Source organism: Homo sapiens, chromosome 4 (genome assembly GCF_000001405.40).
Source record: "Homo sapiens chromosome 4, GRCh38.p14 Primary Assembly".
Classification (NCBI taxonomy): Eukaryota; Metazoa; Chordata; class Mammalia; order Primates; family Hominidae; genus Homo; species Homo sapiens.
In genome coordinates, this window is record NC_000004.12 from 158,587,952 (window position 1) to 158,602,125 (window position 14,174).

Consider the following 14,174-nt stretch of genomic DNA (forward strand, 5'->3'; position numbering starts at 1 on the left):
CTTATCTAAAGATATGAAACAAGTTTACAAAAGTAAACTTGCCAAAAGGTCAAAAAACTCTGCAAAACTAGGAAAGGAAGACAGTCCAATGCCATAAATTTCCAAAATCTCAAAACCTGACAGCCAAGGAAATATATGGTGATTCCGGAGCCCAGTAGAACAGAACATTTTGTAAGGCTCCTGATCCCATCCCCAGAACCCACGTGACTCTTTTTTTTAGGCAACCACAAAATTAAACTACACTAAATTTATGGGTTCAGAAAAAATGCACTGCTTTTTCACCCTCATGAGATTCCACTTGAGCTCCCCAAATTAACTAAATGTCTAATCATTGTTCCGCCGTACTTTAATCCAATGATTCAGTCAGCCTCCCCACATCTGTCATTGTTAAATGGAAAAAACCGGAAACTACTCTAGGTATATTAGACAGAAATTAGGTAAGCAGAATCTTCTCAGAAGGGCTGGAAGAGTGGGTGTAAACAAAGTTGACATCCATGCTGTTGGATCCATCATGGCTGCGACTGACAACGGAGACAGCTGCTGCTCCCGCCCCCAACACAGCTGCCTCTCTTGACACCCACAAGGCTGGTAGTACCTGAAATCCCCTTCCACAATTGCTCCTATGTTTCTGTTTTAGACAGAGCAGCAAACAAATGACCTTATACCTCTCTTCTAACCAAGATACATGTGAGTGGATCCCAAATCCTGGCTCTACAGGAGGTGTGAAATGTTGTCTGAAGTTTTTCAGTCTCTGCTGCACAGGAAAACACCAATGAAGTTGGGTCAATCTACAGCATATTCCATGACAGGTTCCTTGCAGTTGTACAATACAATGGCTGTTCCTCATGATCTGTTCCATTGGTGACTCAACATTTGTATGCATTTGCTCCTCAATTGCTTTTCGCCTAGGCCAGCATTGGGTTCAGATTTCAGTCAACAATCTAGCAAAACTACTGCTTGAGCTAACACATGGAATCCAGAAACTCCAGGAGGTCACTGTATTAGTCCGCTCTCACGCTGCTATGAAGAAATACACGAGACTGAGTGATTTATAAGGAAAAGAGGTTTAATTGACTCACAATTCCACATGGCTTGGGAGGACTCAGGAAACTTACAATCGTGACCAAAGGCACCTCTTCACAGAGCAGCAGGAGAGAGAATGAGTGCCAAACAAAGGGAGAAGCCCCTTATAAAACCATCAGATCTCATGAAAACTCACTCACTAGCAGGAGAACAGCATGGGGGAACACGCCCCCATGATTCAATTATCTCCACCTGGTCCCACCCTTAACAAGTGGGTATTATTACAATTCAAGGTGAGATTTGAGTGGGAGGACACAGCCAAACCATATCAGATACCCATATCGATTAGCTTTGCCTAACCTAAAGCTATATTTCTACTTCCTGGTCTAATGCTTGCAGAAACCATTCTCATGCAAATTCCTTGGGTTTCTGCTTTTATAAAATAGCAAAATCTTTTGGTATGTCAGTCTTCTCTAAGTCCAATTTGTGTTCTGCAGCATGCTGGGCTCTGGCTCCAGTTATAATAGGTTGAGAAGCAAAGAAGCCTGGTAATGAAAGGGCCTGAGGAGAGTTGGCAACTTATTTACCTCAAGTAAAGTAACTCATGTGTCTTCAAACAAACTACAACTAACCTCATCAGACAGGAAAGGGGAGCTGCTTTTGCTTGCAAGGGAGGTTTTGTGGGAAGGGGATTTAGAGTGGTCATATTTGACTGAACACACACAAATGTCCCAGTGCAATTCACAAGGTCTGTCTTGCCAATCAGTGTTCTAATGTTCACTTAAAAGATATGACAGACGGAGCACAGTGGCCCACACCTATAATCTCAGCACTTTAGGAGGCCAAGGTGGGAGGATCACTTGAGGCCAGGAGTTTCAGACCAGCCTTAGCAACACAGAGAGACCCCCATCTCTACAAAAATAAAAAATTAGCTGGGCATAGTGGTATGCATCTATAGTCCCAGCTACTCAGGAGGCTGAGGTGAGAGGATCCCTTGAGCCCAGGAGTTTGGGGCTGCAGTAAGCTATGATCACACCACTGCACTCTAACCTAGGCAACAGAGTGAGACCCTGTCTCAAAAAAAAATTTTTTTAATGATATGACAAAATATGAATTCAACTTATACTGTAACTTAACAACCCATAGGATCAGATTCTATATAATGTAGGGATACATCAGTCCTAAGCTAAGGCCACAAGAAATAAAAGATTATCTGAGGGTAGTTCTATCACCCAGGCTGGAGTGCAGTGTGCAATCTCGGCTCACTGCAACCTCTGCCCCACAAGTTCAAGCGATTCTCACGCCTCAGCCTCCCGAGTAGCTGGGACTACAGGCATGTATCACCATGGCTGGGTAATTTTTGTATTTCTAATGGGGGTTTCTCCACCTTGGCCAGACTGGTCTCAAAATCCTGACCTCAAGTGATCTGCCTGCTTCGGCCTCCCAAAGTGTGGGGATTCCAAGCATGAGCCACCGTGCCCAGCTGTTTCCTTTCTTTAATCTCTCCAGAGCTATTTCTTTAGCAATCCCACTTCACAACCCTTGAAATTTCTCATTCTCATTCTAATGATTTATCGTAGCAAGAACTTTGCCAGAGTCTAGCCTTCTAACAGACACATCATTCCAGGAAGCCATAGCAATAATTTAAGTGACTTCTTTTTGTCACTGTGTACCATTAATTATGAGAGTCCCAAGTTCTAATAATAACATGATTGCCGTTATCTGTAAGAAGAATCGGAATAGATAACCCATCCGATGTTTCCATCCTTGAGATGTCTGAGAGTCTGTTATCTGTAACCCCTTCTGGAAGGAGGAAACAGAAACCACTCTAGATATTTTTGGGAAAGAGAAGCTTAAGAAAAAAATATATTTTATACAGGAAAAATGTGTTTGTAGAATCATTTTAAAGGCTGCGGAAGGAGTCAGAGGTAGGGAATACACCACTGTATAGTTGCAAGCCCAAGATCAAGAAGCATTTGCTTCTGTCACAACTGCTACTGCTAATCATCTCTACATCCATGAAACTGGGACCCTGAGGCTGGCTGCAGTAACTGCCCTAACTGCCACTAGATATCCATGAGGCTGGTGTGTATAAACCTCAGGTCTCACAAGAGTGCGTCCAATTGGTAGAAGCTTATCTATAACAAGAATCCTGGCTACTTAGGGTCTGGAAAACATATATTTAAGTTACCAACTTCTGAAGAATACGAAAGCATTCTAAAGTGGGGGTAGAATAAAAGAGGAGCAAACATTCACAAAAGCCACCACAGTCTCAGGAAGTTTTAGTCTCTATTTGGCTATATATGCCGACTCTTTCAAATTTCCTTCTCCTACTCCTGTTTCTCTGCCTAACATATCAACTGATGCATGTGTTAAGAGTTGGGCAGGCACCTTGAACTTGTTCCTGGGTGTTCAGGGGCTGGTATTTGCTGGTTTCTGGGGCACTGTCCCTTGTCCACGAAGTTACTGATGGCCTTCTAGAGTCCCATACAGAAGTCTGCAGTGGCTCACGCCTAATAATCCCAGCACTTTTCGAGGCCAAAGCAGGTAGATCACCTCACCCGAGAAGTTCAAGACCAGCCTGGGCAACATAGCAAAACCCCATCTCTACAAAAAAAAAAAAAAAAAATTAGTCGTGGTGGTGCACCCCTATAATCCCAGCTACTCAGGAGCCTGAGGGAGGAGGATCACTTGAGCCCAAGAGGGAGAGGTTGCAGTGAGCTGAGATTGCACCACTGCATTCCAGCCTCAGTGACAGAGCAAGACGCTGTCTCAAAAAACTTTTTTAATTTTAAAAATTTTAAAAGAAATCAATGCTAGACTTAATACTAACTTACAGAAATAGGACAAACTTTTATAACTTCACTCTCTGTTCATATGTTTGGGCATCCTTAGGGAGTCCTGGTAGCATTCAGGAAAAAATTTAGAAGGTCTAGAGAAGATCACATACCAACCCCTACCAAGAGAATGAAGGCTTGTACCATGTGCAGAGATCCCCAGAGAAACTGCTTCTTCATCCCTGTTCACTAGTCCACTCTATCACTTGCTTGACTGCACTGTCTCTTATGTTTCAAAGTAACTAAAAGATCATTAGGAATTTTGTGAGAAAAGCTTCTTCCTTTTATCCCACAAATAAAATCTTCTATTTTTTTAAAAGTGACATAGGGGTTTAAAATAGAAATAAGAAAATATAGAAATATATATATAAGCACTCAGAGAATAATCACTTTAGATACCATGGTGCCTTTCAAAAAAGAAAAAGAGAAAAGAAATTAGATCATGCCAGTCATGTTTTCTTTCTTTCTTAAAAGTTAATCGGCCAGGCATGGTGGCTTACACCTGTAATCCCAGCACTCTGGGGGGCCGAGGCTGGTGGATCACCTGAGGTCAGGAGTTCCAGACCAGCCTGGCCAACATGGTGAAACCCCGTCTCTACTAGAAATACAAAAATTTGCTAGGCGTGGTGGCGGGTGCCTGGAATCCTAGCTACTCGGGAGGCTGAGGCAGGAGAATCACTTGAGCCTAGGACACAGAGGTTGCAGTGAGCCAAGATAGTGCCATTGCCCTCCAGCCTGGGCTACGGGAGCAAAACTCCATCTCAAAAATAAATAAATAAAGTAACATAAAAAAAGTTAATAATCATGGCTGTCTAGCCATGTTTATACATCTCCAACATCAGTTTTAGAGATTGAAGAAGATGTAGGGAAACATAATTATTGTAAAATACTAAGAACAGTGTGCCATATTTGGATATGTCTAAAATACTGCTTCTTAAAACGTCAAAATATTACTTACTTCAGGAACACCTATAGTGCTTGTTAAAAACAGAGAATAGTCAGGGCATGGTGGCGCACGCCTGTAATCCCAACACTTTGGGGGGCCGAGGCGGACAGATTTGAAGCCAGGAGTTAGAGACCAGCCTGGCCAACATAGTGAAACCCCATCTCTACTAAAAAAAAAAAAATTAACCAGATGTGGTGTCAAGTTCCCGTAGTCCCAGCTACTTGGGAGGCTGAGGCAGGAGAATCACTTGAACAAGGGAGGTGGAGGTTGCAGTGAGCTGAGATCGTGCCACAGCACTCCACCTGGGCGACCAGGCGAGACTCTGTCTCAAAAAAAAAAAAACAAAAACAAACAAAAAAAACTGGAGAATGGTTTTTTCATAATTCACTCCCCCAAAATGTTTTTAATCGAAATAATTAAATTAAATTTAAAATGGTGACTAGGGAGCCCATCTCAGACTATAAAATGAGAATCTCCAGGTGGGGGTCCATAAATTCACGTTTATAGCAAGTTTCCAGATAATGTTTATCTCGCTACATTTGGAGAAACCACTGGACTGTTTTAAAGAGAGGACCTGTCTCCCCACAATATACCAGAATATCTCTGTTCCTTGAACTTTTTTGTTCTCTGATTTTTATTTTAGGAGACAACAATGGATGGTCTCTGCAATTTGACAAATATTTTGCCAGTTACTACAAAATGACTTCCCAATATCCTTTTGAGGCAGAAACACCTGAATGTTGTAAGTAATCAGAGCAGTTATTTTCTTTTCCATGAGTTCATAAGACACCATTTTTAAAAGTTTGATTCAACATTTTAAAAAAAGATTGCATCTCAATCTGGAAATCAGTTTTAATTAAAGAAACTTAAAAATTCGTAAGAGGTCAATTATAGTTTTCTAATTGCAAATTCTATTAAATATACAACTTTAACTAGGAAAATTTATTTCAAAAAAGACTCAGGGATCTTAAGTGTAGAAGTAATAAATGGTGTCAGATATTGTTATGAACAGAATCAATGTCAGTCAAGGATGTTATTTTATATGACTTCTCTTTTCACAATCACTATAAAGTGTGATGTAAAGAAAACAGAGAAAGTAGAGAGGGCAGAAAAGCTGTTTGGATTTTAATGTTTGCTAGAAAAAATTCTTCTGAGCTGCAAAACCCTTATTCATTATAACCCACTATGTTCAGTCATACACTGAAAACTTACAAAAACACTGGAGGGGTATGGAAGGTATAAACCTGAGGATTAACTATAATATTTTAGATCAGAAAGATATATGAAAATAACTCCTCTTAAATAAATTTTGTCAGTTCTAATACATTATGCAAATGTAAATCTGTATCTTGGAGCTGTCATTTTGACCCTAGCTTTTCAAAACCTTGGTTTAAAAGCAAGGCATATTTGCTATTCCTCTGACATTCCAGACATGGTTCCATATCACAGCCTCTATACAGACTGTTCTTTGAGAAACTTTCTCCCATGTATCTGCTTAGTTGGTGACCCTCAGCTTATTCAGGGCCCTGTTCAAATCAAAGAAGACTGCAGTGATAACGCTGTATAAAACAGCCGCGTCCTCAGCCCTACCCTCATTACTCTATGAGCTTACTCTGTGTTATTTTCTGGGGTGGCACTATCATAATTGCTGGTGGTAGTGGTGCTGGTTGTGGTGGTGTATGAATTATCTCATCAGATCCTAAGCACTATGACAATGACTATGACAATAGGTACTTTGTTTGACTTTTTTTTTTTTGCTGATCTTCTAGTGCCTAAAATAAATAGTGCTTTGCACATAGTGAGCACTCAATAAATTATTGTTGAAGTCTATATAGGAGGCTATAGATAGGATGTTTTGTTTTATTTTTCATCTTTGTATCTGCCCAGAAACATACATATTTAATGGGTTAATTATGGTTACAGTAAAACCCAGTTGAATTTTTTTAAGCCCAGTTGAATAAGTATATTTTAAACATGTATTTTTTATAATAATTTTTCTTATAGCTAAAACTTTTAGTTTTTTAGCTAACAATAAAAACATTCACAGAATTCTTTGCTGGGTTTTTAATTCATGGTTTATTTTTATCCTTTTTTGATTCTGAAGCATGCCAGATTAACAATATGTCTGAATAATTGAGGCTTTATTTATGTAAATGTTATATAATAATAACTACATTTTAATAACAAATGCTTAGGTGGTTATTTTATAACATTATTTTTCTAAGGTTGCATTATCCTAAATTATGTCTTTAGTCGTAGATATAAGCACAATGTATTATGTAGGCAATGATTTAACTATTGTAGAGTTCAATTATTTAAAAGAGTAAAATTTTACACTATGAGTTCTAGAAAATACATGTTTATACATAGAGCCACAGTTTACCTTTTGCTAGTCCTAGTAAATGCTAATTATTCAATTCTCTTACTCATCATCACGTTTTCTATTCTCTCCGTTTTGTACAACTTATATCACTCCCACCTTCCCAAAACATTATCTGGGCAGCTTTGAATGGAAAACAGTCATGAATGAGCAATCAATGGCTATTCACTACAAAATGGTGGAGAGGTGACTAAGAGTTTATTTTAGACAAATTTTATATCATATATTTAGTTTCTTCATGTCACCTGGCAATGCCAGCTCCTCCTCTGTTCTTTTTTTCCTATATAGTGCCTTCCTGGTCATATCCTTTTCGTAAAACCATTTAAGATGAATAGGTAATGGCCACATATTAAATACTAGTGTTATGAATTAGTAGATCAACAAAATATGAAATATTAAAATGTAAGGATTGCCTATCTGTTGCAAATATAAAGTTTTTTCTCTTGCAAAAATTATTTTTAAAAAAGCAAGGCATAGAGGAAGAAATCCTTTGCTATATTTTTTTCTTCATGTTCTACCATAAATTGTAAAGTCTAGCTTTTTAAATTTTTAATATTTTTTATCTTCACTACTCAAATGAGGTTAATCAAATACCACTAACAATCTCCAGTTTAAGGGGATAGACGTCACTCTTGTGAGATTCACAGGGTACTCAGCAATCTGTCTCAGCATCATGCCATTATTTAGAGGGAGACCAAATAATTTGTCCATTAAAAAGCTAAAAATTGGCTGGGCACAGTGGCTCACACTTATAATCCCAGCACTTTGCGAGGCTGAGGTAGGAAGATCTCACTTGAGACCAGGAGTTCAAGACCAGCCTGGGCAACATAGTGAGAACCCAATCTCTCCAAAAAAAAAAAAAAAATTAAAACTTAGCTGTGCTACTCAGGAGCCCAGGAGATTGAAGCTGCAGTGAGCTGTGATTGAGCCACTGTGCTCCAGCCTAGGCAACAGAACAAAACCCTCTCTCAGAGGCAGAAAAAAAAACAGCTAAAAGTTTTTGGGAAAGGAAAACGTTAATAGATATAATTTAACTGATAATATAATGTTTAAAATAATGAATTAAGCCATGTTGTCTCAAAACAGTTTTTTTCTTTTATCATATATTGTTTTCTTTTTATTTCTTAATTTTTTTTTTTTTTTGAGATGGAATTTCACTCTTGTTGCCCAGACTGGAGTGCAATGGCGCAATCTTGGCTCACTGCAACCTCTGCCTCCCAGGTTCAAGTGATTCTTCTGCCTCAGCCTCCCGAGTTTGGATTACAGACATGTGCCACCACGCCTGGCTAATTATGTATTTTTAGTAGAAACGAGATTTCTCCACGTTGGTCAGGCTGGTCTTGAACTCCCAACCTCAGGTGATCCACCCGCCTCAGCCTCCCGAAGTGCTGGGATTACAGGCATGAGCCACTGCGCCTGGTCTATTTCTTAAATTTTAATTGAATCTTTTAATACCTCACCTTATTCCCAAAAGGATTTTCAGCAACTTACAATTAAAATACAGCTACTAAAAGCCTTAAACCATTCACATGATATAAAAGACAAAAGTTCAGTGGTGAGTGGAAAGCGAATGACAAAGAAAAATTAAGAAAATCCTTCCTGAGAAAAGTTCAGTGACTTCATCCGAAGCCTAGTTATGAATTTCATAGCTGTCAAGTCCAAGAGAGAAAATAATGGGTTACATAACTTTCATAGTTTGTAAAGCAAAACAAACAAATGGGGAAAAACCAGGTAAGTCAGCAAGAGAAATATATTTTTGCGTGATCCTGCACCCTGGAAGACATTTGTCACAAGTATAATTACATAAAAGGAATGAGGCTATGTAATAAATGCTGTATTAAAAAAAAGTAATTTTTTTCATCAGTACTTAACAAAAACAAATATATCATTGAGAGTTAAAGACAATTTGTGGGGGGTAGTGCAGCTAACGACTAAATATATGTTTCAAACTTGAAAACAGTGTAAAAATAGAATGGCAAGTGTAGTGTAAAACTTGGGGTTAAAATTTAAGTTAAGGTTCCTAGTGTCCCACCTTATTTAAAGCAGATTATTATAGGGATTTATTGGAAATTAAACTGAGCAAAGCTTATAATCATTTTTGACTAGAATAATGTGAGGAATTCACATTATTAAAGTCATCTCTCAAGGGCAATATAATGGAAAATATAATATCTATCATGAGCCAATAAATTAACAAAATTTAAGTTTAAAGGATTTGAAAAGTACAGAGATTTGGAAAGAATTACTTACTTAACCATAATTTGACCATTCAGAAGCTACCAGCATTAACTTGCTACTGCATTACTCGTCTTTTTTTATTTTAACATAGTTGAAATTTCCTATACAAACCATTTTTATCAAATTTTCAATTAGCATTTCGGCATAATCAGGTATCCATATTACTACAACATCTTTTAAAATATTCCATGTAATAGTATATTTTGTAAGTGACATAATTTCCTTAATCATTCCTTGGCTGTTGGATATTTATGTGTTGTTTTTTCATTTTTCCCTATTGCAGATAACCCTGTAATCAACATATATGAATTATCTTAATTTAGTCTCTGTATATGAAAAAAACACACTGGGATTAACGCTAATTTCACTGCCCTCCGTTTCTGCCCTTCCTACTTCATTCTCAGGACCTTTCTTCCTTCCCAACCTTTTCCATCCCATCCCCACAGCATACACACAGACTCACATATGAGATATGATTGTAACTTAAAGAGACAGCATCAGTTTTCAGACATCCACAACCAAAGTGGGTACTTGCAACTATAAAACTGTTGTAAAGTTCTTGGCAGATACTCTGTTTATATTAAACACTAAATCTAGGTTATGGTCCTGATCTCTTGTAACCCTGTGAAGACGTCTCTGGAGATATTTGGGAGGAGAGGAAGAACACATGTCACCCCATATCTGAGCCAAAAAGCTCCTCATGAACAGTCATTCACAGAGGTCTCTGCTTAGCCACTGAGACACTTGCTTGCTCTCTGCAAGTTTCACCATAAAGGTCAGAAACTGGAAGCCTACAAGCAGAAAACTCTCATAGACGGTTTTGTTTGTCCAATAATATTTTTAAATGTTTTCAGTTAGCTAATATCAGTTTTTAAATAGATAGTTATATATAAAACATTGTATTTATGGCTTCTTTGAGGAAGTTGGTAGATGTAGCTACACATGTTCCTATTCTAATATGGCAACAGATGAGAGAAGCTGTTGCACTTGGACATCTGGACACAGTCTACAGTGACATTGCCTGACCGCTGGAGACACTGGAGTCTGTAACCCCTGCTGTATAGGTTAGGGCTCCAGAAGTCAATATGGGGAGAAAACGTTTCTCATTGCTCTCAGGAATTCGCCATTCCCCATCAGAGCAGGAATCAAACTATATTTATTATCCTAAATAATAATCTCATTATTCTGTTTAGCTATATGAATACATCATTGCAAATCTCTAATAGACTTTAGATGTATTGACTCACATCCTAACACTATCGCTACAGCTCCACAAGATGGCCAAGGTCATACACCTCATTCTCCCTCTCTTTCCAACACCAAACACCAGTGAAAATAGAATCCTATGCAGAAAAAACATTCACTCCCATAAATAAACTTTTATTCATCCTTTACCCCTATTTAAGCCAAAAGATTTTTTAAAAAATTATTTGAAGAACTCCTGATTTTAAAAAAAAAACTATAGACACTATCATTTGCCTTTAGTTCTCCTCGTTCTTGCTAGTTAAAAGTGATTTATTCCTCCTTTAAAGGTTTTGATTATACTAAATACTTTATTTTTAAGTGGCAGTTGTAGTATGAACATTAAGCCTCATCACACACTATCGTGTCAATCCTTAGCAGACTGTTCTCCATTCATTGCAAAATGAATGAAATAAGAGCAGATTATTTCATTCATTTTGCAATGAATGGAGAACAGTCTGCTTTTTTTAAAAAAATACATGAGCTAGTGTGTGTTTCCAAATGTTGATGCTCTACCATCATTTTAAGGTTAAATTAAAAGCAAACTTTGGAGCCTTAATTTAAAGCATTGCCTAAATTGCCTACGTAGCACATGATATGCTTTTGTACTAAATGATTTTCTCATAGCTTTTCATTTCTTTCTTTTCATTACCCTCCTCTTCCTGGTCCCTCACTGTCATCATGCCTTACCACTTCCCCTTGATTCAGTGGTCGGTTCTGTGCCAGTGCAATGTCTTTGCCAAGGTCTGGAGCTTGACTGTGATGAAACCAATTTACGAGCTGTTCCATCGGTTTCTTCAAATGTGACTGCAATGTAAGTAGAAAAGAATTACTTCATCCTGACAGCTGGGTAGCACCTGTAAAATTGTATTATAATTAAGACCATGTGATTATTCATAATATATTTTTATTCAAAGATGATGTCATTTTTCCTGGGTCAGGTATAATAATTACTGATATTTATTTTGCATTTATTAAATGCTAGACCCCACCTTAAATTATTCTTTATATTAACCCCTCATAATAATCCTGCAAGGTATGGAGTGTCACCATATTTTATCTAAACAAAAAAAGTCATCAATTGCATGTGCTACTAAGAAAAAATGGCTTCTAATTAAACTATTACATAGAGCTTTCCTATTATATAGAATTTTCACTTGACATTTATTGAAAGAACTCTGTTAGAATTTATTGGACCCAAATTTTAATATAATCTGATGTGTAAGTTAAAAAAGAAAATAAGGTAAATTGGATAAGATATTCCTCCCAAAACGTCATATTTAAAATCTGTTCTGAATCACATTTTGAGTCATAGATGTTAATGTTGTTATTTTCTTAAGGAATTCAAACTTACATATGTAAAAAAATTATCACCATAAGTGGTTTGTTGATTTCTAGTACCCGTAATGTTAGTTTCCAGTACTAATTTGAATTCAATGAACTTCAGCAACACAAACATATACATTTGACTGAAACTTTTTTAAAAGAAATTAGTGGAGGACAGCTATTTTAATCCAATATTTTTGCTGAGTTTCTTTTTTCATTTAGATACCTTAGTGCCTTGTGGCTCTCACTTTTGGGTATATGAGGACAAAATAAGAGTAATTCTTGAGTTTATGCATATTGACAAGTGTTACCGTTTTCAAACCAAACCACATAATACAGCAATTGAAATACTTGGTATATGAGGTAAGAGCTACAACTCAGAGTTCCTGTGCATAGTGGTTCCATTGAATTCACAGATCTGAGAAGTTTACCCAATTTGTGGTGGCCAGGGAATATGAACTGAAAATATCAGCAGAGTTTTCCAAAAGAGGGAACATTTCCACTTGAACTAAGGAAAAGAAGAGCTCTTCAGCATTCTATCCTCTTCTTGCCTTACCATGGCTCTTTCTCATAGCAATTAGTCCTGCTAGAAAAAAGTAATAATTCCCCAAAAGAACCTGAGGTCCTATGGAGCACTTCTCTGATTTAAATTCTAACTGGAAATTCTGAGTATAAGAATTTATGAATAGTCTGGGCAACACAGAGAGAGCCCATCACTACAAAAAAAAATAAAAATTAGCCAGGTATGATGGCCCACACCTGTAGTCTCAGCTACTTGGAGGCTGAGGCAAGGGGATCACTTGAGCCTGGGAGGTCAAGGCTGCAGTGAGCTATGATCAAGCCACTGCACTCCAGCCTGGATGACAAAGTGAGACCCTGCCTCAAAAAAAAAAAAGAATTTATGATTTCATTCTATTTTCAGAGAAAAAAATCATAATCCTTCTCCACTGCTTGTATCAAATTACTAGAAAATCCAAATCAAAGGATATTCTGATGCAGCCAATTTCATTTTTCATTTTCCCACGAGTAAGATTTGAATCCATTCTTTAACAATTCAACCAACATTTGTAAAATAAAGAACAGAGAGAGAAAGCTGGGGGAATGGAGGGGAATAAGGCAATGGCTAACTAGAGAGGGCATGCCCCACACAAAGGTTGAATCATTGAATTAATTCCCATTCAATTTTAAAAATTGTCATGATCTAGTATACACATACATACGTACATAAAGAGATGTGGGCAGAAAGCTGTGACCTACCAGTTTTCAACCCCTGGTATAAACAAAAAAACTGGGACCAGGTCCTTGTAAATGATTGTCTGCAAGAAGGCAAGAAAGAAGGAGTCAGAGATGACTCCAAGGTTTCCCTTCTAAGCAACAGTATGATCGGAGAATGAGGAGACTTGGTGGCAGTAACTGAGGAAGATGGGGACTCTGATGTTAGATGTTTTTTCCAATGTGAGATTAACAGGTCACTCAGTGGAAATCTTCAACAGGCATTTGGAGATATAGGAATAAAGCTCAGGAGTTTATGTCTACGGTATTTTTTATTTTTTGTTCAAAAAATAGCATTATCTTGTGCTTTAGGTTGAGCCACTTGATTCCAGTTGTCCATTTATACTTTTCTCTGCAGAACACTGGCTTAGACTCATACGTAGTCCCAGTCTGTTCAGTTCCATACAGAAAAAGAACTCTATGCTTTATAGCACATACATTAAAAAGTAAACATCAAATTTCATTAGTCAGTTCTTTCCAGACTTTGAGTTGGAACTATTACAGGGAAATGTCAGAAGAGGACTGAACCATATGTAAGTATCAAAGAAGCTAATACTCCAAGTAATGTTTATTGAAGTTGGGATTTTTTTAAGACATTTCGCATAAATGCTAATGAACAAAACAGGCAAACATAGATAGATATGATTATTTTTACTTTTTTCTAGCTTGATAAACACTGATTTTGACTATTTGAGACTTGGCTTTAAGATCCTGGAATTTAATCACTAGAACTATATGATCTAATACTAAGAACTTTCTTTATAAAAACTAGAGCTAGCTTTGACAATAATGATTAAACTAGGCCATTTCTCTCTCACACACATACAAACACAAACCCTCTTTGACTCTGTGAACAATCAAAGTTGGACTGTCAAATTTTAAAATATAAGGATTTGTTATATTATATTTT

General features: G+C 37.4%; 1 protein-coding gene across 24 annotated transcripts in view; it reads left to right on the forward strand.

The window, feature by feature from the left end:
- RXFP1 (relaxin family peptide receptor 1) overlaps window positions 1–14,174 on the forward strand; it is a 131,659-nt gene that overhangs the window by 66,238 nt on the left and 51,247 nt on the right. For 13 of the 24 annotated variants that reach the window (NR_045579.2, NR_045580.2, NR_045581.2 and 10 more), the window contains 2 exons: window positions 5,450–5,548; window positions 11,375–11,480. Coding sequence is in view for 16 of the 24 variants with exons in the window: in XM_017008523.3 (XP_016864012.1) it covers window positions 5,450–5,548; window positions 11,375–11,480 (205 nt within the window). In the remaining 8 variants the exon portion in view is untranslated. Of the gene's footprint in view, window positions 1–5,449; window positions 5,549–11,293; window positions 11,481–14,174 lie in introns of all 24 variants that reach the window. The other 11 variants (NR_045582.2, NR_045583.2, XM_011532179.3 and 8 more) reach the window with 2 other exon arrangements.